The sequence below is a fragment of the Homo sapiens genome, chromosome 2, assembly GCF_000001405.40.
Source record: "Homo sapiens chromosome 2, GRCh38.p14 Primary Assembly".
Lineage (NCBI taxonomy): Eukaryota > Metazoa > Chordata > Mammalia > Primates > Hominidae > Homo > Homo sapiens.
This window is the reverse complement of record NC_000002.12, coordinates 175,608,962-175,635,900: the sequence shown is the minus strand read 5'-3', so window position 1 is coordinate 175,635,900 and position 26,939 is coordinate 175,608,962. Positions and strand designations below refer to the sequence as shown.

Here is a 26,939-nt window from a genome sequence, read left to right as displayed (position 1 = left end):
AGGAGAGGGGTCAGTGGCTAGCTTTCAATAATGGTAACTTCTCCTAGGAATCTGAGAAAATAAAATGGGAAATAATTCATGTTTATTTGATTCTTTAAAAAATTGATTGGAAACACTTTTAACCTCCCTGAAAGAGAAAAAGAGAACCCCCAATGTTTTAAAACACTAGTCTCCAGCCAGTGGGGTGGAGATTTTGCTAGAATTCAGCTCATAATTTCTAAATGAATGAACAGAAATAAGAAAGGTATTATACTATTTTATGCTGAATTAACCTCACTATATACTGCTAAAGATCTATCTCTGGAGACACATCATAAAAACTAAACACTTTTACCACCATGGCAGTATTAAAAAGTATTTCATATTTTACTATTTGGGTGTAAAATTACTAATCAAGGGTATGAAATGACCAGAAGAAAACAAGAGAAAAAGAGACTCATTGAAACATGCCAAAATATTCCCAAGCTTTCACTGAATGCCTTCACTTGTGTTTTTTCCCTTCATCTTTAGGGCCAGCATCTTTCAAATGGAAGACAATCTGTTTAGAATAATAGAAGAAGCATAGTAAATAACTGCTGCAAATGAACAAATTCTGTTTTGCCCAATAGGATCATCGAGGCAGAAGAGCTTCTCCAAATGCATCATTTATTTCATTGAAGGTCAAACTCTTTTTTAGGTTGTGGACTGTTTCTATATTGGAAAATTGCTTCCCCTCATGGCAACACAAAAATTTATTGCCCCAGAATTAAGTGAATGGATTATATTCTCAAAGGAGTGGATGTCTGAGTTCTAGTTAATACAAATAAATATGGTTTTGGAATAAAGGTACAAACATGGCCATATAATTTGTAAGTCATAATATTCTGGAGAACATTTCACAGACCCTTGGGATCTTCCAGTGTTTCCCTGGACTGTGCATTGAGAACCAGCCCCTCTCAGGGAGAGAAGTGAAAGACAGACACTTGCATTGCAGTTTGAGTTTCATCTCGTTGTGTCTTAGGCAGGCTTCTGGGACCCTCTAATCTTTCATTTTCCCCTCTTGTGCTATGGTTCCTTTCCTTTACATGGCAAAAAGGCATTAGAAGATTTAGGTGATGAAGGTGAATTCCTTCTTTACTCATGAAAGGTAGTGCAGGCTCAGGTTCTGGAGTCAGTTCACATTCAAATCCCTCTTCTGCTACTTACAATGCCTCAGTTTTCTCATCAGCAACGTGGGGATGATAATAATTTTCTTGTCATGTAGGGTTTTTGTAGGGATAAAATATTAATATATATATAAAGGATTTAGTACTGTGTCTGGTACAGAGTAATTGCTAAAGAAATGCTATAATATTGTTGTAGGTATTTTTATCCTTCAAATATCAGCACAAAGGCTGCCTCCTCTCTGAGCTTTCTTGGTTCTCCCAGGCAGTTTTGTACTTTGTGCATAATTCTGGTAGAGCCATTTGTTTTGTTTTATTTTTGTACCAATTTTTAAAATTATTATCAGTTTGTTCCTATGTATGTTTCCTCAAAGACTGTAAACCCCTTGAGGTAGGAGATAGAGGATGGTGCTTTATTTGTATATCCCTAACACCAGAACAGTGCCTGGCATCCAGTGTTTATGGATAAATGAATAATTACATGGATGAATGAATGAATGCATGTTTCACTTGTTGTTTCCCAACGTCCGGTCTCTCCTTCTTTCTTTAGTATTTCAAAGTTTAGCAGAGCATGTGGCTGTCCAGCTAATAATCACATTTTCCAGCCTCCCTTTAAGCTAGTTGTGTCCATCTGTGGAAGTTCTGGCCAATGGGAAATGTGTAGTGTTCCACTTATGGATTATTCCCTTAAGAGAAAGAGGCATATCCTCCATTTTCCATTTTCCTGCCATCTCTGGATGGAATTGGTTGAGATGGTGAGATCTGGAGCAGCCAACTCAGACTGTGAGACAGATGGCACTGGTTAAGGGTGGCACGTGTTGAGGATGGCAGAGCAAGATTTAACAATCCCTGGGTTCCTAACGATGTAGAGCTGTGGAACCAGCCCTGGGCTGCTTGCATTCAGACTTTTATGTAAAAGAGAAATTTCTCTCTTGTTTGGAGCACTGTGTTGCTTTGGTTGTTTGTATTGGGCAGGGTGGCTGGTGAGTCTTTGTTTCAGTAGCTGAGCCATCTCCTAATACACCGTCCACAGAGCTACATTTACTTAAGCCCTGACCTTTGATAGATAATTTTCTACTGTAGATACTATTGATAAAAATAAATGTGAATTAGATTACACCGCTGGTTAGAATTGAGCAAGTTTGTGGATGAAATACAGAAACAAAGGCTTTAGTTTAGCTATTTAAAAAATCATTTTTAAATGATTTTAATAAAGTCACTCTGTTATTATCACTCTATTCCCAGGTGCCTGATGGTTACTCCAACTGGTGATGAGGGAAGAGGAATAAAAGGTTAGACACACCCTGTTACAGGACTGAGGGCGGGGAGCAGTGCCTATCCTAGGAAGTGTTTCTATTCAAATCTCGTTTAGGTGGGCAGGAAGGACAAGGTTTTGCCAGGCAACTGCCCTCATCTCAGCAAAACAAGCTTCCTCCCTACCCCATTCTCCTGTTGGCTAGCACAGTGCTTGTCCTGAAAAACAGGGTCCACAGAAAAAGAGTAGCAGCCCCTTTTGATCTCTGCTTTTTATTTGTAACAAACTGCTTTTTGACCTTCTAAGCAAGAGCTACCACACAGAGAGCTGTTTGAGTCTCTGGATCAGGAATTCAGGCTTGATGTGTGGGTTATAAGTTTTCTGATGTCAACAAAAATTTACCTAGAGATTTACCAAGATGCTGTTCCAGAGATTTTCATTGTAAAGGAAAATTATTGTGGAGAAAATTAAAAGGTATAGCAACAGCCTGATGTTCACTTCTTGGAAAGTATAGAAAATAGTGATGAAACATGAGTATATAGGTATATAGATACAGTTTTGAAACTTTGTTAAAGTATAGCATACACACAGGAAAGTGTCTAGACCATAAGTATACACTCTGATGAATTTTCACAAGCCAAAAACATCCATGTTACAACTTAAGAATGAAGAATTATGAAAATTCAAGCATCTTGTGTTATTCCTCTTAAATATTTTCGTTTAAAATTGAGCTGAAATATTTAAGAATCTAAAAAACATGACAACCTCCTATTTCCAACTTACAAATGTAAAATTGTAGAAGCACTGAAGAAATGCTTGTTATTAATAAGAAATGTTATTATTTCAGCATTTTTACCATGTAGCTCCAGATGTTAAAACTGTATGTTGCACATTCTTGATGTTTATACAACTGTCACATAGATCATGATAATTTAGAGCAATTTGTCTCAGCCTCCTCTGTGCAGTCTCCTGGTCGGTTCCACATATGCTCTATTTCTCCTTAGTGCTTCTCTGGCACTTCAGGCAGAAGTAACTTAACCTCTCAAGGCCTCGGTTGTCACAGCTGTAGATGGGGCACAATAACTGTACACACAGGATTGTGCATATGAAATTATAAAATGTATATAAAGAGGTGTACGTGACATTTGCATGTAGGAATACGTTAATGAATGTTGTTTGTTATTAGTACATTATGAATGCCAATATCAGTTAATGCCATTGCTTCTGGGTTTGGGGAAGCAACAGAAATAGCCACATAATTGTACTGACTATGTAATGTTCTTTTTCAGGACAGCCTAGGCCTGAAGTGAGGTTGCCAAAGTTATGTTCTTTATAGATGGAATATGTTTCCTCTAGTGAGAGGCAGTTTACATGTAGGCTTGTGGTTATTAATGTTTTTAACTGATGAATTATGTTGGAATTGGTGTATCTCTGCAAAGAATATTTCCAAATGGTCTTAAAGGAATGTCATGTAGCATTTATTACAGTCATTGCAATAGGGACACCTCCCACCTGCTTTAATTTAGTGACATTACTTCTGGTTAAAAGCCTTAGGTAAGGCCACACACAGTGGCCAGTGATTTGGATAATTAGAAGGAATGGCAGAGGCCTGTCTCTTTACAAGGAAGTTAGCAGTGACATGCAATTAAAGCAAACCTTTGGGGGAAGCCAGGTACCTCTAAGGATTATAGTAGATTGGGTCAAATCAAACAATATTTATAGAATTCTCTCCTTTCACAAAGAATTTCTGCTTGCTTATTTTTAATAAATTATTTCAGAGATAATGATGTTATTTTACATAAGTAGAGCAAGAAGAAAAGTATAACTTAAGCTTTATTTTCTCATAATTTTTTGTACTACACAGGCCAGCTGCAAACAGTTCACCTGATGAAGCATCTGAACCTTACATTATCATGTATGTATTGGTGTGGTGTTTTCTGCTTTAAAAGGTGCTTTCACATCCATTACCTAGTACAATCCCCACAACTGTAAGAGGCAAGGGAAGGAGTTATTATGATGTCCTCTTCAAACAAATAAATGGAAGCTGAGCTCTGATAAGGCATTTGTCATAGTCCTTTTATGGTTGAGGCAAGACTAAAAGTTGAGTTTTATGACTCATGGTGTAATGCTCTTTCCAACATATGGAACTGTTTTCTCAAACATAAATGTATGTTCTTACTTTCTGTGCTTTCCAAGAGTACAGTTTTCTTTCTCTCCCTGAGATGCTGGGGTGGTCATGAGTGCCTTGGAGAATAAGCTGAAAGCCCTAGACTTTGTCTTCAGAGAAAAAATGGACATACTCACACAGGTAAAAATTGACATTCACCTTCAGGCCGTCTCCTAAAATCTGCCTGGGTAATAGAATAGGGTGTCTGGTAAAATACTAGCCTGGGCTTGACTCCAGCCGGGTGGGGGCACCTGGCGTTCTCAGTAAAGAAGACAAAAGCAGGAGCCAGCATACCATTAATGTTTACTTAGCCCTTACTCAACACTAGGTGCTGCACTGCACACGTCATGTTGGTTCAAACCCCACAACAACTCTTGAAGCTGAGTGTTATTATTGGATTCATTTTATGGATGAGGACACTAAGAACATCTCACCTGAATTCGAAGCCAGATGTCCACTTTCCCCCACTCTGCTACACAGCCTCCCAAAGTGATAACTACGTGTCAGTGCTGAGTTGTTTCTCTGGTCGCTGGCCCATGCCTGTGTGCGGTGGTGTGGCTGGGAAGGTGGAAAGGGTTTTTTTTTTTTTTTTTTTTTTGAAGCTTTTAGCAGTAAGGTTCCTTGGGGAAATTGTGTTCTTGGGGGTGCCAGGTTAGAACTGTTAACGACCGTAGAAATGTGAAGTGTGAAAAGTGTTCAGATACAGGGACAGAAAAGAACAGGGCAGCATCCAATGGGTGGTCCATTTCTCCTGGGACATGTGTTGGATGTTCAGCTGTCATATTAATGTTTATGTATACCATGCTACATGTTCTCGCTGACTTGGCAAATGATTCACAAAGTTACTGAAATGAATGAAGTAAACTTCTCATGGGTAGACCTGGGGCTGGGGAAAAGGAAAAGGGAAGTGCCTACATTTGGGGTTTCCTGAACCGTAAATAATGATCGTGTTGCCATTCCCAGCAATATGCTTCTGTCATTAATTAAGTTTTATGGAAAGCTATGGCGTTCATGACTTTGGCCTCTTCCCGCTCTTGATCTATGTGGTGTTATGTGGTGTAGACAGCAGTGCTCATAGGTGGGATTTGTCTGACAGGGGGATTTGAATTAGTCTGATGTAAAGTGCCTGCTAATATATGGCATGCCACTGCACTGGGTGAGTAGGAAGGGAGAAAGCAATGATGATGTTCCCCCCTGTTGCCGCTGATTATTTTTCCAGCACCTATACAAGGAATCAGAATCCTGTTTTTTGTTAGGCTTAATTTTAAGGTCAGATTTTTTTCTGGTGTCGTTGAGAGAGTTGGGCTGCCACTCAGATTCAGCAGCGTGGTGCTGTGTACTTGAGAGAAGGGTCCATAAGGTTGGGAGTAGCGGGAGATACTGGCCCCTCCGCACTCATCAGGCTCAAACATGTTCAAGACCCCAGCAAAAGAAGTCTGAGTGGAGCTTTTTGAGGTGGCCTACACCAGTGTTAACAATGCTGCCAAAAAATTATCTCTCACCATTGACCTAAAGCCCTCCTGCTAGGTTTTCAGAGCAGTGGTTTTTAAAATATTAGCGTACATCAGATCACCCGAAAGGCTTGTTATAGCACAAATTGCTGGTCCCCCTGCTCAGAGTTTCTGATTTCATAGGTCTACGGTGGTACCTGAGAATCTGCATTTGTAACAAGGTCCCAGGTGATGCTGATGGTGCTGTTTCAGGAGCCAAACTTTGAAAACTACTGCCTTAAACTGACTATAAGGGCAGCAGTTAATAATATGGGTTTGGGAGTTAGACAGCTCTGAATTCAAATCCTGTTCTGCCACTGTGAAATTCTAGAAAAGCTGCCAAGCCCAGGCTTCCTCACCTGTAGAAAGGGAATTACAAACGTTTTGTTTGTTCTGTTTTGGTTTGGTTTCGTGAGGACTGAATGAGATAATCTATGTGAAGTGCTTAGCACAGTGCCAGGCACATGGAGGTGACATTACAGATGTGAGCTCATGCTATTGATATATTCTGCCTCTTAGAGCAAGGCCTCAAGTAATGTGGCCCGCATGTTAGGGCAAAGACACCAAGCTTAAGGAATCTCTTTAAAGTTAAGAAGTCAGAGAAAATGTAGGAGAGAAGAATCAGTAAAACGAAGACCATGGGACTTCTATTCCTTAAGGCTTTCTGATGTCTTGGGAAATAGAAAAGAAAACAAGCAAAGGTATCTATTTTGTAATAAGCAGTGAGAAAGTCACTCTCCACCAAGAGATGCCTTAGGAAGATGGGATTGAAATGGGAATCCTGAACTGACCATTGGGGCTATTAGCATTTCACATGTAAATTCCAATAAAGTGTCAGATATGCAGAGGTTAGTGGACTTTTTTTCTAAATGGGCTTTATAAGTAAAAGGATAAAGGTTACACAAACCAGGGAGAGCAGCATACAACAGAGGGATGCAGCATTTTGTACAAGTGTGTTAGTCGGGATTCTCCAGAGAAACAGAGCCAAAGAAGATAGATATTTATCTATGTAAATACATAGATAATATATTTTTGGCCCATGTCTTATGCAATTATGGAGGCTGAGAAGTCCCACGATCTGTAAGCTGGAGACCCAGGAAGTCTGAAGGTGTCTTTTGAAGTCCTGAGAGCTGGAGAGCTGGAGACTGGTGTAGATTCCAGTCTCAGTCTCAGAGCCTGAGGACCAGGAGTGCTGAAGGCAGAAGATTGACATTCAGCTCAAGGAGTCAGAAAGCAAATTTAACTTTCCTCTGCCTTTTTGTTCTATTCACTCACTCAACAGATTGGATGAGTCATGACTACAATGGGGAGGGCAATTTGCTTTCCTCAGTCTACCAATTCAATCTGATCTCTTCCAGAAACACCCTTCCAGGCATACCCAGAAATAAGTTTAACCAGCTATCTGGGCATCCTTTGGCCCAGTCAAGTTAACACATAAAATTAACCATCACAACATGAGACATATATTTACAAAGATACTGTGTGCTGGGGCCAGTTATGAAGCAAGTAATGTTTATCATCCTGGAGCCAACCCACAACTGTCTTCATCTTATTTCTGGATTTTGATGGGCTCTTTGCTCAGTGGAGTGAATTGTAACTTTCTATCTCCTCAAGCTCTACCCCACTGGCAAAATAATTACCGAGAAAATATTTACAAAAATTAATTGCTAGCTAGTGTAAATTATATCTTAAACTATGACTACTCCCTAGGATAGTATTTTCCAAACTGTGTTTCCAGGGACTATGAATAGGTAATGGGTAGAACAGGCATTCTTGATGAAACACACAAATGTTCTTGTCAAGAACACCCAAGGATCTCAGAAGTCCTGAAGTTTTTTTAAAAACTCTGCTTAATTTTGATTAACTCAGTGGTGATTGTCCCTTTTTAAAAATTGTATCTGTATTTTAAAATTTTTTCTATAATGAGTTAGTATTACTTTTAAAAGAAAATATGGATCAGATTTTACTAGAATGAAAAAGAATATAATTTAGGCCACCAAATGTAGCTTCTAGCTTTCTTTAGTCTCCACCCTATTCTTCCTTTACTTCTGTGGGGGAACCAAGGACAGCATGATGTCAGATTCTAAAATAACAAATGCTTCATAAAATTTCCTTTTTGAAAAGATAACTGAATTAGGATAGTTTGTATAACCATTGAATGATTCAGATGCTTGCCCTTTTGGGAATCCCCTTCATCCAAGTTAAAGGAATGAAGCAACAAGCCATCTGTGCAATTAACTGCTCAACCTAATTACTCTAAAGAAGTGAGTCAGTCAAATCCTGGGACATTCAAAACTTCCAGTGGACAGGGGTGCCACAGAATCTGGGAACCACATTCAACTTTTCTAAGCTTGAGCTTAGACAGCTGGTCAGAGATGTTATGGCTACATTTGTAGGCAACAACTCAAGGAACTGGCTTTTCCTGAGAAAGGAGATTTTCTCCCCAGATTGCTTTCAGAACAAACCGTAAAGGGATAACCCCACATTCTTTGAAAATCTTTATTCCTGAGAAGTGTTTAAAAATTTTCAAGTGGGGCATGGTGTGATCTATAGGCTATTCTTCGCGAGGAGGGACCGTTTGGTGTGTCTGAAATCTTGAGGATAATCAAGGACCCAACACTCTTAGGTGAAATGCCTTTGGAGAGAAACTGAAGTCTGCTACAATTAGATTAGAAAGAAACACGTTTGACATTCTAGAAAGCAAATTTAGGCTGTTGAATCCAACAGTGTGGGACAATGTTTCCAATTGGCAATGAATAGGCTAAATGATTCTTGTCTCTCTTTGGTGGAAGTGAAATAGAATACTAATTGAGCAAGTATCACTCAGATAAGCAAAGTAAATTGGACTTCAGTCTCTAGTGGGTTTTGAGGTTATGACCACACTTTGAGCTCCTGGAGGGGTGCCACTCCAGGTAACAATAGGCCATTTGGGCTTTCCTGAACGGGGACCTTCAGGCAGAATAAATTCAAACTTAAGAAAAGTCGGGCAGAGGAGATACTGTGCTGACCTGCCCAGAACACTGACGATTTAATGACAAGAACTGGCAAGTGTAATTTTGGTTAAAATGTAATTTCTTACTGGAAAAAAATGGTTTTTGTCTTAAACAATTTGGAAATTTAATGAAAAATTCAATATTCTTCATTCTTAAGTAGTCTGCCCTTCAGTATAAAACGGCCAAATATCCCCTACCAAAAAGAAGAACAAGGAGATAGAGGAAAATGAGAGCTGGGCAAGGACCACACTGTCACGAATGGTACACTGAGCACCACTGCAGTGCCCATCCCATGCACCTGGCCAACAGCAATGGTGGAACCTAGTACCCAGCAAAGTGCATGCTGAGCTTTCTTCTGCCTCATGGTACCAGAAGCAAGTTTCAGTGACGCGTGTTCCCTCTCATTCCTTGGGACAAATTGTCCTAGTGAGAGAAAGCTCTAATACTCATGCACAAGACATTCCATGACAGTAACGATAACACTTACTCACATTTACATTTATATGTCTGGTCTTTTCTCTATCTGTTTCTCAGAAAGAAAACTCAAATACCGGACTGTCTGGTTTAAAACCAGACACATGGCAACCCTATTTACTAAAACTTTACTGCTGGGCACTGTGCTATTTGCTTTCACATATATTGTGTCTTATTCAATCCTTGTAATGGTTCTGTGAGTAAAGTAGGATTCCTATTTTACAGATGAGGAAGCTAAAGCTCAGAGAGGTTAAGTAGTGTGCTTACAGTCACCCAGATAGTTATTGGATATGGTACTGTGACCCTAGAATGTTTGACCTTACATTTCTTTATTTTTCTTTGATATTTGATGCATTGAAATGATTCAAGAGTTCTTGAAATCTGTCATCAAGTTTTTCCTTGGTTGAAGTTTGGATATGGAACACTTCAAAACATAATAGCACCCTTGGGATCTCAGAAAGTATGTTGTCTATGAAGTATTAGGAAAAGATTCGAAGAGTGGCATCAATAATCAACTGTTAATAAATTTGAAAGAGCCACATTTTGCAAAAAAACAAAAAGAAATTCCACCAACAAGACCATGAAAGGCTGAAAGAATTACAGGCTTTGACAATGAATGGTATCCCCATGCCTTGGTCAGGAGCCATCTCAGAGTCTCATCTTAGTAAGTTGCAAAATCTGCCCAATTGCTGTCACCTATTGGCTACTGGATACCTAGTTTGATTAGATTTTCAGGCTCTTTATTGTTTCCTTTTAAAACTTTCAAATGATTTTGTGCAATGAATGGAACCAGATGGAAATACACTGATACCTCTTTCATCTTCCTAAGCAAATGCCCAGGGAAATCATGTGACAGTTTTCCAATTGCAGATTTTTCCAATGGTGTGAATCTTTTAGGCCAGGATTCCTGGAGGTGTGAACCGATTTTTTCCCAAGAGACTTTTCACTGTCCCTTGCACTGACAAATTGGAGCTTCCTGTGAAGGTAGCATTTCACAACAAAACTTCAAGAACTATCAGCTGTATTACTGATACAAACTTGACTAATTCGTCTCTGTTTCAATCTTGGGCAATAAAAAGTACTTCTGAAATAATGTTGTCTTAAAAAGTGTCTTTATTCATTTTAGAGTTGACTTATGGTTGCATATATAGCCATTTCTACTTTCAATTTAGCCAGAGGCATTTTTTCTTGAACTTCTGAAGATGATACAACTCCTAGATTTTACTGTCGTAGTGCCAGGTTGTGGGAACTCTTCCTTGACTTCACTTTAATAGGTGTGAAGAGTGCATGACTGTTCTGCTTTTGAATTTGCATTTGGACTGCTGAATTTGTACGCAGAGCACCGATGAAATTCTTGGCAGCATGAGCAAAAGTTGGTTTATCCACGATGACATGCAGGCTTTCTGGGGATGAGTATTTCCTTTTAGTAAGAGCAGACAGCCCGTCTATTAGAAGCTGCCCCCTAGTTTCTGAGGCACATGGAGCTAGACTAGGGTATTTTATTGGGTCATTAGAAATGTGACATTTGGATTGACCAACAGGCTCAGAAATTCCCCAAATTGTAGGGTTGAGAAAAGGGTGCAGTTCTTGGTAGTGTAATACCCTCATCAGTCTGTGGATTCTTTTTATGAAATTTAAGTTCCTTAACAATAATTGATAGAACAGATAATAAGCCCTTTTGCAAACAATCTGATGTGTTATCAAATACCCTCATCTTAAATGAAACAAGAATAGTGAGAGGCTTTAGAAGAACATATGTTGTGCCTCACAGATGTTCAGGGACACAGCTGGAATGTGTTTAGGGTAACTTAATCTTATATGCTTCAGAATACTAGAAGCCTCTCAGCATGTGTAAATGGTGAGGACTCTTTTATTCACAAGAATAGAAATCCACCTCAAATAAACAAGAGCAACAAAGGAAACTTGCTGGGGTGTAGATCAGGGGAAGCCTAAGGCTGGAACTGTCTTTGTAGGCTACAACAATCCAAATGATGTTGTTGGCTTTTTCTGTCTTTTACTTGCTCTTGCTTTTCTCCTTCAGCCCAAGGGCTTCCTTCTTTCATGTAGACAGCTTTAGAATTACATCATCCAGTTTAACAGTCCCATGAAGAACTAAAAAAAGCTTCATTCTCTCAGAGTCTTACATAAAATCTAAAAGGACTTCAATTTGTCCAGGAGTGTTATATGCTAAACACAAGCTCACCATTTCAATAAATGTTTAAGACACTGGTTCAGGCCGTATGAAGAAACTGAAAAATATCCTTGATCTCCAACAAGAATGTAGAAGGTGTAGGACATGAACAAATATGTAATTTGAGGCAGCAGGTGATATATAGAGAAGAGACAACTAAAACAATGATGGAAATCAGACAAGTCAGCTGAATGTGACGCAAGCACTTTTTTTTTCTTTTTTTTTTTTTTTTTTTGACGGAGTCTTGCTCTGTCACCAGGCTGGAGTACAGTGCTGTGATGTCAGCTCACTGCAACCTCTGCCTCCTGGGTTCAAGCAATTCTCCCGCCTCAGCCTCCCGAGTAGCTGGGACTACAGGCACGCGCCACCACGCCCAGATAATTTTTTGTATTTTAGTAGAGATGGGGTTTCACCATGTTGGTCAGGCTGGTCTCGAACTCCCGACCTCAGGTGATCCACCCGCCTCGGCCTCCCAAAGTGCTGGGTTTACAGGCGTGAGCCACTGCGCCCAGTCCCGCAAGCGTTTTCATGAAGAAAAATATTTCATGTTTTTTGAAGAGTAGCTTCTATTTAAGTGATGGAGAAGGAGGGGCAAGGGGAGAGTCATTCCAGGAAGAAGCCATGGTATAAAGATTGGCAAAGAAGCAGGAAAAAGGGAAGAGTTAGGAGCTTGTTTTGAATAAAATATAGATTTTATTTTAAAAAGAATTCTGAGCTAAAGTTAGTCAGAAATGTTGATATTAGATCATAGAAGACTGTAAGTTTTCAGCTTTAACCTAAATTATTTCCACTTTTCCCAGAAAGCTTTGTAGAGTCAGTGAAGATTTTAGAGCAAGCAGAGGCAGGATCAAGTAATTCGTCAGAGTTTTGATGGCAGTGATAAGGAGGAAGGACTGGATAGAGAATCTACTTAACACAATTTCAAGAAATGAAACCTAACCATAGATAAATGGGGGACAGCAGGGCATCCTGAATGTGTGACTAGAAGGAATGAGATTGCTTTTTTTTTTTTTTAGTCATTCTCACTCTGTCCCCAGGCTGGAGTTCAGTGGCACAATCTTGGCTCACTACAGCCTCCACCCCCAGGTTCAAGCGATTCTCCTGCCTCAGCCTCCCTAGTAGCTGGGACTACAGGCATGCACCACAACATCCAGCTAATTTTTTGTATTTTTAATGGAGATGGGGTTCGCCATCTTTGCCAGGCTGGTTTCAAACTCCTGACCTCAAGTAATCCGCCCCTTTCAGCCTCCCAAAGTGCTGGGATTACAGGTGCAAGCCACCACGCCAGGCCAAGATTGCTTTTTTTAAAGTAAAGCTCTAAGTCTCTTACACAGGGTTTTGGATGATGGCTACAGATTGGAAGCCAATATCAAACTTTATGTGTATCACATGGCTCTGTCTTGTTTTCTATGCTCAGGTCTATGTATTTTAACCAATGGCTGGACATTTCCTTGTATGTCCCATCACCACCTCACACTCAGTACCTCCTCTCGGCTCCTCTTTTTGTGAAGGCATCACTAGCAATTTAGGCATGGTCATTCCTAGGAATAGATACCAACTTGGGTGAATCACAATAACTTCCTCTAACTCTAGCATTTTTATGTGGGTAGAAATCAAGTTAAAATGAGCATGCAGGACAAACTGGGAGGGGAGACAAGGCACACAAACGTCATCTGCAGCCTTAGGTCCTGGATTCAGAGGCATAGGGCAGCCCACCCTCTGTGTAGGCCATGTGAGCCAGGTGGAATGAGCTAAAAGTCCCAATGCAGACAATCAGCAGACAGGAGCCCCAAATCTTTTGAGCAGTGGCTGGGTGGAGACTCTTCTTTCACCTCTAGTAGCTGAGACATGTCCAAACACAAGCCCCCATCTTGTATCTTAGAAGCCTCCACTAGGCTTCATCTGTGTCCATGTGTATTAATTTAAATACAGGTCAGCTGCTATAACCGAGACCCCAAAACAATAGTGACTCAAATCAGATAGAGTTTTATTTTTCTCAGGTAGTAATAGAAACATAAGCAGCCCAGGGCTGGTGTGGTGCCTCACAGTATCAGTCATTTAAGCTCCTTTACACACTATATCTCATGGTCTCAGTGTGTCCATGGTCCCACCAGCAGGAAGAAGAGGCGCCCTCTAAGGGTGCAATCTGAAAGTTGTACACACTGCTTCCTCTCACATCCCATTGGTTAATACTTGGACAAATGCTACACAGAGCTAGAAATGCTACAGCTGTGTGTTCAGCTCATAACATAGCTGACATGTACATAGCGCTCCCTGGAAACCAAGCACTATTCTAAGAGCTTTATACAAACTGACTTACAACAATTCTATAAGGTAAGCACAATTGTTATTCCCACTTTTCAGGTAGGGTAACTGAGGCACAGAGAGGTAGAATACCTCAGCAAGGTCATCAGATAGTAATTGATGGTGGTGAAATTCAGACCCTCACAGGCTGAATCCGAAATTTGTGATCTTGACCATTCTGCAATGCTGCCTCTAAAATCCAGGGTTTGGTTACTAAAGGAAGAGAGGGAGAATGAAAACTGGAGGACAACAGTTATCACTACTATTGCACTCCAGCATCCACATTTGTCACCCACAGCGATGGCTCCAAGCTTTGGAATTCTCTCCCTTGTCCCTCTATTCCTTCTAGTTTTCCAGCACACTCCTATTCACAACAGCCTACAGCCCCTGCCTCACATCCCTGCAGAAATGGCTACCATGGTAACTTCTGGTCTAACCTCCTGGCTTCCAACTTTTCCACACCCCAGCCTCCCAGATACCTCTTGACCAAAAGAATCTGCCCCAAATACCACTTTTGTTCTGCCATGCCCCTCTTTAGAAATCCCCAGAGGAGAAGCACCTCTTAATTGGATCAATTTCCTTCTAAGCCTGGCTTTCAGGCCTCTTCATCATTTGGTTCCAAACATATATTTCAAACTTACAGATCTCTCCTCAGGGCCACACGAAACTCTCTACACCTTTCAGATTGATCTAATTATGCCATGTGTACTCCTGAAACTCAGCTGTCTGGATAGAAAAGGAAGAGTCATCTATATATTGACACAGGCATTTTGCTTAAGTCATTGACCACTGAGAAGGGCCAAGCCTTGCTCCTGTTTGCTTGTCTGAAGTCTACCCATTCCAGCTTGGTCCTGTCTGCCTAGGGGGTAACTCAGAGTTCTGCACCGCTCGCACTGAATGAATATGCACTCAGTGGCTCGCCTTCCAACATAGCGGTGCTCACTCCTCCCCCTGTCCTCACTGCTATTCCCCCTGCCTGGTCAATGGTGTTGGCCGTCTTTCTGTGTATGTCACCTTGCATCTCATGGAGACAGAGGCCAAGTTTTATCCTATTGTGACCCCCCCCCCCCACTGCACTGAGACACTCAATATACTTTGTTGATTGATTGATAATTTGTACTAAGTGGCTTCTTTAGTCACCCTTGAGAATCCCTATAAGTAACATAACTTGAAAAACAATTGTCCAGCTAGTGGACAATTATGCTACATTAGCAGGCAGGATTGCCTAATGTTAAAAGTAACAAACTAAGAATCTTTACCCTTTTTCTCTGCTGTGGATGTGCACTGTCCATTTTAGATCAGTCAGAGAATGTAGTTACAGTTTTAGAAGAATATTTGATCCTCAGAAGGACACCTTCCTGTATTTTGTATAAACAAAAGTATTCAATATCTCCTCAATTACTTGCAGATGCCTTTGAGCTCAAATTGAACACTAGCTATCTCTTCTCAAGCATCAGCTTTAACATACAGGGAAGGAAGCCAATGGGCATGAATGGAAGAGCTTGATTTCAGAAAGGATGGGATTATGTGCTTCTGGAATGAAGGAGGAGGAATGTGCTTTTTAAAGGGAAACCTTTCAGAACCCTTGTTTGTGTGCTTGGCTCCAGAGTAAGAGGGAAGAGGTGGTGACAAGAATATATTTTAAAGCCAGGGCGTTGTTAGCTTGTCTTAGACTTCTGAGCTTTTAGAGTGTTTGTTCAGGAGGTGGTTTCCAAGGTTTTACAACTTTGCTAAAAACATTTGGTCTCCTCTTTAGATCTATTCGGCTGATATCATTTTTAGTGACTTCCGAGGCAGTATTGTTGCTAAGAATTGATACAGCAATGAATCTTTACTAGTGCCCATCAAAACTGGACTTTTGTATCTCACATTTTACTCTGGGCTTTTTTTTTTTTTTTTTTTGCCTTTTTTAGAAATTCCCTGGAAACCAGCTTTGTCTTGTCAATTGAATAACAAGCACGGAATTTATATAATCACTGCCTTGTCACAGTACAACTGATTAGCATCTTCTGGTTAAATGCAAATTGTCCATCCTTCAGTTCAATGACATTTGCCTCTCTTTAAAGGAACAGCACTAAAGCAACTTGTAGACATGACTGTTTGTTTAGCTTGGTTTCTCTCTTTGATCTCATGTTAACATACCTTAATGGCAGGTAATGATTGATAATAGAGTATTGTAAAGTTCAGGTAATAAATACTGCTTAACTCATAATAATGCTGAATAATGTACTTTTTATGACTTGGTTTGATGGAAAATTTCCTTGTCAGCTTGGTCTAATTGTCCAAACAAAACCACCCATTACTTGAAGAAATACATGTCCACCCTAGACACATTAATTAGGGTCATGGCTGGGCTGCAAGAAGGAATATAGTAACACTTTAGTTACTTAAATATAATCTTTGGACAATCTTACTAATGCCAAACTCAGATTTAATGAGGAACTCTTGTTTACACTTGCCCTTTGAGGCTCATGGGCCTAGGTTGAAACCTCTGGTGATGGCTGTAGCCACATGTACACACACTGCGGTCTTTTCTTTGAGGTTACCAGAAATCATCAATTCTAGTGGTTTGAACATTGAAAGTCACAACAGGAAGTATCTTTATCTTGGCACAGGGGGTGAGGAGATTTCTATGAAGAGAAAAAGGAATATCTTTTTAATTGTTTATGACTGGATATCTGAAAACAGTAAGCATCAGCTAGTACTGAGTTTAGAGTAAAAAGGGGATTTGGTATCTTGGCAGTGACAAGCTCAGGTGCTGTACATTAAAGTATTTAGCCAAGTCCTACTTGCCCAAGTATGGAATTTCCACAATGTTTCATTATCTTGGAAGTCCCAGGAATATTCCAGAGAATACAGTACAATAGAAACCCAGGAATCCCATTTACAATAGCAATAAAATAAAATAAAATAAAATACTTAAGAACAAATTTAACCAAGAAGGTGAAAGATCTATACACTGAAAACTATAATACACTGATACAAGAAACTGAGGAAGACACAAATAAATAGATTTTCCATGTTTATTGATTGGAAGAATTAATATTGTTAAAATGTCCATACTACCCAAAGCAATCCATAAAGTCAGTGCAATCCCTATTAAAATTCAAATGACCATTTTTTTGTAGAAATAGAGAAAATGATACTAAAAGTCTTATGGAACCACAAAAGATCTCAAATAGCCAAAGGAATCTTTCAGCAAAAAGAACAAAGCTGGAGACATCTCAAAATTTGCTACAAAACTATAATAATCAAAACAGGATGATACTGGCAAAAAACAGACATAGAGACCAGTGGAACAGAATAGAGAATCTAGAAATAAATCTACACAACAACAGTCAACTACAAGCAACTTTGACAAAGGTGACAAGAACAAATTATGAGGAAAGGATAACACCTTCAATAAATGGTGCTGGAAAAATTGGATACCACATGCAAAAGAATAAAATAGGACCCTTATCTCACCCCATAAGAAACACAAACTTAAAATGGATTAAAGACTTAAAGTTAAGACCTGAAACTGTAAAACTACTAGAAGAAAACATAGGGAAAGTCTCCATGACATTGGTCTGGGCAATAATTTGTCGGTTGTGACCACAAAAGCATAGGCACCAAAAGCAAAAATAGACAAATAGGATTGCATCAAACTAAAAAGCTTCTGCACTGCCAAAGAAACAATCAACAGAGTGAGGAGACATCCTATGGAATGGGAGAAAATATTTGCAAACCATACATCTGATAAGGGACTAATATCAAAAATATATATGGAACTTGAACAACTCAATAACAAGAAAACAAATAGCCCAATTTTAAAAATGGACAAAGGATCTGAATAGACTTTTCTCAAAAGAAGACATAACAATGATCAATAGGTAAATTAAAAATGTTCAACATTACTAATCATCAGGGAAATGCAAATTACAGCAATGAGATATCACCTCACACCTGTTAGAATGGCTTCTATCAAAAAGATGAAATGTAAGTGCTGGCAAGGATGTGGAGAAGAGGGAACCCTCATATATTGTTTCTGGGAATGTACATTAGTATAGCCATTATGGAAAACAGTATGGAGTGATATGGTTTGGCTATGTCCCCATCCAAATCTCATCTTGAATTATAGCTCCCATAATCCCCACATGTCATGAGAGGGATCTGTTGGGAGGTAATTGAATCATGGGGGCAGGTTTTTCCCATGTGGTTCTCATGACAGTGAATAAGTCTCACGAGATCTGTTGGTTTTATCAAGGGCAGTTCTCCTGCACACACTCTCTTGCCAGCCACCAAGTAAGATGTGCCTTTACTCCTCCTTTGCCTTCCACCATGATTGTGAGGCCTCCCTAGCCATGTGAAACTGTGAGTGCATTAAACTTCTTTTTCTTTATGAATTACCTAGTCTTGGGTATTTCTTCACAGCACTATGAAAATGGACTAATATAGGAGGTTCCCCCCCCAAATTAAAAATAACTACCATATGATCCAAAAATTTCGTTTCTGAATATATATCCAAAGGAAATGAAATCAGTATGTTGAAGATACATCTGCATTCATTTCATTTGAAATGTTCATTTTAGCATTGTTTATAGTAGTCCAGATATGGAAGCAACCTAACTGTTCAAAAGTGAATGACTGGATAAGGAAACTGTGGTATATATGCATGATGGAATACTTTTCAGCCTTTATAAAGAAGGAAATCTTGCTGGGTGAGGTGTTCCCACCTGTGACCCCAGCTATTTGGGAGGCTGAGGTGAAAGGATTGCTTGAGACCAGGCATTGGAGTCTGCAGTGAGCTACGATGGCACCACTGCACACCAGCCTGGATGACAGAGCAAGATCCCATCCCTAAAAATAATTTTGTAGAGAATAAAGAATTCCTTTTTTTTGCAAGAACATGTATGAACCTGGAAGGCATTATGCTAAGTGAAATCAGCCAGGCACAGAAAGAAAAATACTGCATGATCACATTTACATGTGGAATCCAAAAATGTCAACCACTTAGTAGTAGAGAGTAGAATGGTGTCTACTGGGGTCTGGAGTGAGTATGGTTGGACAGATGCTGGTCAAAGGGTACAAAGTTTCAGTTGGACAAAAGAAATAAGTTTTGGAGATCTGTTGTGTAGCATGGTGACTATAGTTAATAATAATGCCTTGTATACTTAAAAGTTGCTAAAAGTAGATTTTAAATATCCACAACACAAAAAAATGGTAAGAAGGTGAGGTGATAAGTATGTTAATTAGCTTGATTTAATCATTCTAAAATGTCTACGCATATCAAAAATCACATTGTGTACCCCATAAATATATAAAATTTGAAAAGAAAAATAAAATAAAAGAGATATTTGCTGGCCAGTTTGGGGGAAAAAAGACAAAGAACTTCAGGAGATGGCCATGTGGGCTTTTAACAAAATGACCAATGTAAAATCCAAGGTTTAATCAGGTCTTTGAGAAAAGGTGCTTGATTTTAAAGTTTGGAAATGATTCCATTCATGATTCCAAAGAATAGCAGTTACCAGACTCAATTCAGGAGCTAGTTTCCTACATATTATAAAAAAAGAGCATGTGTTTAATCTTTCAGATTTGAGCCAAATTGTCATCTTGTTGAAGATAGGCTCGTATCTCATTTAATACCCACATTTTTAAGGAAACTCACAAGAAACTCACAATGGGAAAAATTCATTTCCATATTTTTGTAATCACATCATTTTCTTTCCTGACAAATCTCAATAAAGGACTTGTTCTTTAGCTGTTATACACTGATAGTTTTCACTGTCATTAGGTACCCAGAATGGCTCAATTTGATGAGTAATATTGTCCACCTCACACATATTACTTGCTGCCTACCATGAGTCTTAATTTTTTTAAGAGTAGGCTATTTCTTATTGGCTTTAAAACAAAATCTGTTTCTCCTTAACAATTTTGCCCTTTTATCCTGATGATTCACTTCATGTTTTACTTTAGTCTGTTTGGACTGAAATTTTTGGAAGACTACAAAATAAAAAATGCCATTTTTAGAACTTTGGTCTACAGATTTATGCAAAGATTGGGGTCTTGATGGGTGTATTTGTCTGTTCTCACATTGCTATAAAGAAATACCTGAGACTGGGTAATTTATAAAGAAAAGAGGTTTAATTGGCTCATGATACTGCAGGGTGTATAGGAAGCATGATGCTGGCATCTGCTCAGCTCCTGGGGAGACCTCAGGAAATTTACAACCATGGCAGAAGGCAAAGGGGGTGCCAGAGGTGAAGGGGGAGCAGACTCCTCACATGGCCAGAGTAAGAGCAAGAGAGACCTCAAAGGTGGAGGTGCCACACACTTTTAAACAACCAGATCTCACAAGAATTCACTCACTATCACAAGAACAGCACCAAGAGGATAGTGCTAAGCCATTCATGAGAAAGCCACCCCCATGATCCAGTCACCTCCCATCAGACCCCACATCCAACACTGGGGATTACAATTCTGTATGAGATTTGGGTGGGGACACAGATCCAAACTATATCAATGGGATTAATTTGCTTGCTTCTTTTCATTAAAAACATAAGTACTTTTTTTCATTGTTCAACATGTAAATGCATGCCTAAAAAGCTCACAGAAGTTAACATGCCTTGGACTTCAGAAAATAATCCAAGAACTGCATGCACCAAATAATAGGCACATTGCAAACGTCACTGCCAATCAACTGCTTTCTCTTTCCTGATGGAGGCATGCTGATGTTTGGTGGGGCTCCCCAATTGACACTTGTCTCATAAGTTTTTAAGTCAAACTAATGCAAGAGGAATGGCCACTTGACCACTATATACCTGGATTATATTTATCTTTTCTAACTTTTGATTAACTTAAATAAAAATTAAGTCTTTGGAATCCTTATTTATATAATCTATTTCAAAAGGCATTCATTTCAGCTGTATATTAATATCCTTAAATAGACATATTTAAACAACATACAGACTGTTAGCACAGGTGTTCTCAACCTCAACCCTGGCTGTATGGTAGAATCACCAGTGATGATATTTTTTAAATATTGAGATCCCAGGCCCACCTGAAAAAAGTAAATTAGAATCTCAGATGTGGGGCTCTGATTTTATACAGGTATGTTTTCAAACCTCCCCAGGTGGTTCTAACATGTAGATCAGGGGCTTAAAACCCTGGATTGGGTGCAATGTTTTTCAAATCACCATCCGAGAGAACCCCCACGCAGAGTGACCTCGAGTACTTGTTAAATTACTATTGAATGCCTAGATTGGAAATAGTGAGATCTGTAAGTTACAACACTTGCCCTTAGGGATCTCACAGAATAATAAGGTAAACTACCAAAAAGTCATTACTACAATGCACTATAGGAAATGGTGTAATAGTAATAAAAGCAAGGATTGATGAGGATGAATGGATGCTAAAGCCCAAGCTCTACCTAGTTCCCAAAGCCTCTGGGCAGAGAGAGATGCAGGGCTAAAAGTCTTAAGTTAATGTCATCTTAAGGTGAATTGTATCCTTCCAAACTTATCCTGGTTTTGTTTTTTTCATACATTGGTCTAAATCACCCCTCCTTGTCATGGTCTCGTCCATATCTAGATTCTTTATTCCCTTATTATCAATCTCTAATCATGTTAATTCTCTATATCAGTTTATTTAGCTTACTTCTAAAGTAAATACTCTTGCAGTACTGCCCTGGGATTCTGGCAGCTGGCACAAATCAAAAATTGTGAGTTTTGTACCACTGGAATGTCTAAACTATATTTTAATTCTTATGTGGTCCCACTGAAATGTCAATAGGTTATGAATATTCACAAAATTTTGGTTTGCTGTAACTTCTCTTACAAAAACTAATGTGGTAATGCTAAGTCAAATAAGCCAATGCAGAAAGACATGATTACATGATCTTACATGTGGAATCTAGAAAAGCCAAAATCATAGAAACAGAGTAAAATGGTGGCTGCCAGGGGCTGCAGGGTGGGGGAAATGGGGAGACACTGATCAAAGTGTACAAACTTTCAGTTATAACATGACCAAGTTCTATGGAGCTAATGGACAGCATGAGTAGTGGTGGAGGTGTTAACCAATTTGATTGTGGCAATTATTACACATATATCAAATCATCACATTGTACTCTTTGAACATATACGATTTTTACTTGTCAATTAAATATTTAAAATTTAAAAATAGTTAAAAATAATAATGTGGCACGTAGTATGTAATAGTTTTTATTCTTTTAAGACTGTTTCCCAAGCTGTGTTCCAAGGAGAAGTTCCAGAAGATGTTAGTAGATATTGTACTAAAAAATAATTCTATGCTTCAGTAAGTTTGTATATAAAGGAATAAATAGGCTACTTTACTCGAAAAATTCTCAGAGACTTTAGTATGCCAACAAACATTGTGAATTTTTTGGAGCACATTGGATGCAGTGGCTCTCAAACCTATTTGACTATGAAAATGAGTTTTGTTGTTGTTGTTGTATATATATATATATATATATATATATACTTTAAGTTCTGGGATACTGTTAGTTTATTTTTAAGAAATACAGCCATTGTCATCCAGGGACATTCTGTTTCTTTAGATGACTGATGATGTCTAGTACAATAGATTATGAATATGAAAGATCCCCCAACAAATGGCTCTCCATCAGAAAAGAAACACTCTTGAAAGTAAACATAGATATTTGTAGTTTACAAACTGCATTTGTGTGGCTGAAGTGATAACTTATTCCAGTGCATTGATGGGACACAGTGAATTACCCTGTTAAGCTGTGTATTGTGACCTAGAGAGGCCTTGAACATGCATGGCCCTGATCTACCTAAGAAGAGCCTGCTGGGCCGGGCACGGTGGCTCACGCCTGTAATCCCAGCACTTTGGGAGGCCGAGGTGGGTGGATCACGAGGACAGGAGATCGAGACCATCCTGGCTAACATGGTGGAACCCCGTCTCTACTAAAAATACAAAAAATTAGCTGGGCATGGTGGCAGGCGCCTGTAGTCCCAACTACGGGAGGCTGAGGCAGGAGAATGGCGTAAACCCGGGAGGCAGAGCTTACAGTGAGCCGAGATAGCGCCACTGCACTCCAGCCTGGGCAACAGAGCGAGACTCCGTCTCAAAAACAAAACAAGAGTCTGCAGCCCTGGGGCTGGTCTTCTCCCACTTGAGTCCACTCCCCCTTTTCAGCCTTTTGAGTTTTGTTAACACTCTTCCCTTTCCTCTTCTCCAGCTGCTCCCTCTATCTGTGGAGAGATACAGACATACAGACATTTAACTGTGAAAAAGGTAAAAGCAGGCACAGTGCGAAAAGACTGGCAAAGAGAAACAGAGATGGAGGTGAGGAGTTAATAGTAAAGACAGAGGAGAGAGACACGCTGACCACAGGCCTCTAACAGCCATCTTTCAACATGCATGCCGTGGTTGTTTATCCTGTGGTCAGACGACATGTCATGTGGCATGCAAGTCACTTTAAGCCCTGACATCAGAAAGACTTCCACATTGCAAGGGAGGGTTAGCAATAAAGAATAGCATTGTCCGCTTTCTTGCGATGAGATGAAGACAGTTTTGGAAGCTCCTTAGGAAAGTTCTAAACAGACAAGCTTTTCCTTTTCTTTGTCATATTTCCCACTGTCAGACTCCATGCATCTACAATCTTAGTTTATATTCCTAGCAAGAACAAAGCTGTATTTAACTTCCTTCTGTAGACATTATCACTGCATTGTTAATAAAGAAGGGAAGAAATAAGCTCAGAAGCTCAGAAAACACTCGATGGATGAGTGGAACACAAGACACTGCAGACAGAAGTGAGCAAATTTCAAAAGAAAACCTTTCTGCAGGTGCATTACTTAGAATTACCTTCAGATGTGAGTGACAAAGAACCCAAGATAACAGTGGTTTAGACGAGATTGAATTTTATTTCTCTCTCATGTAGAAATGCAGGTAGGTGGTCTGGGGCTGATATGGTGATATGGTGTTCCACACACCTTGTTTCTTTTCTGTGAGGCTGAGACATGTAGTTTTGACCACCTCATGCTTCAAAATGCTAGCATCTGCATGCTAAGGAATAGGATGAAAAAAGCAATTAAAGAGAGGAAGAGGGGAAGAGAAAAAGGGCACATGTGTGCTGTCCTCTCAGGAAGGTTTCTGGAACAACTATACAACCTTCTATTTACAACCCATTGGCCAGAACTCACACAGCCATACCTAGCTGCAGGAGAGTCTGAAAAAAAACAATCTTTGTTCTGGGAAGCCATTTGTTCAGTCAAAACCTGAGCTCATTTACAATGGTAGAATGGGACAAATGATATGAGGGAGGATGCCGTAGACTGTACAATTCTCACAAAAATGTTTGGCCCCTCATTTGCCACTAACGTCATATTCGGCCCTGTGATTTGCTTTAGACAATGAGATATAAGGCAAAGCTTTAAGAGCTGAGTGATGGTTTACCATGTCCTCTTTCTCCCATGCCCTGAGATTGGCAACATGTCAGAGGCTGTTCGGCCACTCGGGTCCTGGATATGATGACGTGAAGCACAGCTGCCACTAACCTATCACAGATATGAGACACCAGTGGAAAATAGAGCTCTGTGATCGGAAGCCACTGAGATTTGGGGACATTTGTTACTGCAGCATAACCGAACTCAGTGATTCTCAAAGTGCAATTCCGAAACCATTAGCATCAGCATCACTAGGGAATTGGTTAGAATGCAAATGCTCAGCCTCAACCTGAACTTACTGAATTAGAAACATGAGCAGCACCCAGCAATCAGTGGTTTAACAAGTCCTTCCTTCTTAAACCAAGAGAGATTCTAAATTGGGCTAAGTGTGACAGCCAGTGCTCTGGCCTATTTAGACAGATACAGGGGGGACTGACTATCTCTATCACACATGAAGGCAAAAACAGGGAGAAGGGGTTGCCATCTGTTCCTCCAGAGAGGAGAGAGAGAAGCAGCAGATTCAGTGACTACAACAGGGGAAGCGGCATCTTCCTGTCATTTGGTGTGACCTTAGCCCTAAAGGAAGAGACCACAGCTACAGAAGTTGTGAATCACAACTCTTCATTCCAGTGAGAAATCCAGTTATTGCAAGAAGAGAAACGGTTACTCCCATAGGCTTGAAGCTGCAGGAGTGGAGCCATACCTTAGAAATCTATGTCTTACTTCTTTGACCTTATGGCACCCTATTGTTATAGCTGGAGTGCACACAAAGCACTAAAACAACGTATCTTGAACATGAAAGTAACTTGCCCTATTAAATGGCCTATATCTGACTTTTTCCAGACAATACCACCTCAAAACAGTTGAGACACCCTAGGTTGTTCCAAAACATGGCTGACATGTGGGTCAATATACAGTGTCTGCATCCTGCTGAGAGCAGGATCTGAGGCTGGCCCCAGAAATTGCCAGGCTGTGGCTCTGCAGGGCTGGAAATGAGCAATGGATACATCCTCACAGAAAGCCTTCAGTGCCCATTTTCCACTCCCTGTCAGAACGTCCACATTGTCTGGATTACTCTGATCTATCAAGCAGAACTCCATGCTCTAGATGTTTTCTAACTATCCACCTTCCTCCCAGTTCTCACTCTCTCAAGACTCCAGGTGAGGAGTCATGAGAGAAATAGGCTGAAACCAAGATGTATGCTGCGTGTGGCTCTTCTAGATGTAGGGTTTTCTCAACCCTGCCAACCTATAAATGAGAGTGCCCTCTGCACAGGTGTTAGGAGATGTTCACAGGATTAAGCCTCCCATAGACCACGATGGGAAATCCAGTCAAAGCAGGGTGTGGTGCTTGAGCCCAGAAACCTCGGCAAGTAGAGGAGAGGTGGCACTGATATCCCTCCTCACTCCAGGCAAGTGAATGTATTTCCTCCTCTGGGTTTGTGAGAAATTCAGGTTTGAAAAAAAAATACCAAATAACCCTAATGAGGTGGCAATTTACCTTGAATTGGCAATATTCTACATACATTTGCCTCACAGTGTGAACCAAGCAAACCTCTCCATTGCATGAAGGAGCAAGCACCTCATTTGCTGCCCTAGGCTGAATAGTTGCCATACTTAAAAGAACAAACACAATTTCCCCAGGATACAACTTTTCATGTGCTACGGTCAGTTTTCACGCTAAGCTTTTCTATTAGTTATGTGGCATTTTCCTTAGAGCCCACGTGGAACCCACACTGTCTCCGTCCTACTGAATGCTCCTTGCAAAGAAGCCAAATGTCCTGAACGCCATGGGGGAAAAACACAGAGGAAACAGCTCCGGGCCTGACCCCTGAGCCTCTGTCCAGAGACATCTCCAGGGCAGTTGCAGGGCCCAGAACAAATCATCCCCACCATCCCCTGATATTTTTCTATAAAGGAAAATCAGATTTGAGGGAATCTCAAGGGCAGTAATGAAGGGGGCAGAAAACCAGAAGATGTCACACAAGCACATCATGAGGTTGACAGTAGGAACAAAGGAAGCTGGGCCGAAGGCAGGGAAGGAACCCAAACCCAGCGTCTCTTCTGCTTGTGGGTCTGAGAACTCCTGGGGTCTTCTGTTTAACACTGGTTACTCGGCCTTGACAGTGAATTTTAAACCTTTATTTTAGATTCTTTCTTTCCTTGGGAACAAACGGTATTGCTCTAAACTATTTAGTAGCTGTGGGAAGACTAAGACAAATAAGACAAAGGCAAGCAGCTTCCTGAAACTTCTGCCTGCCTGAAGGTATTGTATGTTGAGACCGAGGTGGGGGCCGGGGGCACGTGTTGGCCTACTTGGCTTTATTGGGATCAGTTCATAGAAATTTCTGGGCTCTGGGGCTGATGAGCCAACAGAGGAGAGGTTCCTCCTGGAATTCTGAGGTGAAAGAGATCCTCCAAGCTACTCTGTTTTGGGGTGGCTTGCTGCAGTGACCTACCCAATTAAACATGGCCATGCTATGGAAAGGGTTGCCCACAGCTGGCTGATGGCCCCCAC

General features: G+C 40.2%; 1 long non-coding RNA gene across 1 annotated transcript in view; it reads left to right on the top strand.

Moving 5' to 3' along the window:
• Window positions 1-26,939, top strand: part of LOC107985962 (uncharacterized) — a 243,604-nt gene that overhangs the window by 203,138 nt on the left and 13,527 nt on the right. The window contains exon 4 of the long non-coding RNA XR_007087312.1: window positions 2,388-26,939. This exon is cut by the window's right edge and continues 13,527 nt beyond it. This is a non-coding gene — a long non-coding RNA (uncharacterized LOC107985962). The remainder of the gene's footprint in view (window positions 1-2,387) is intronic.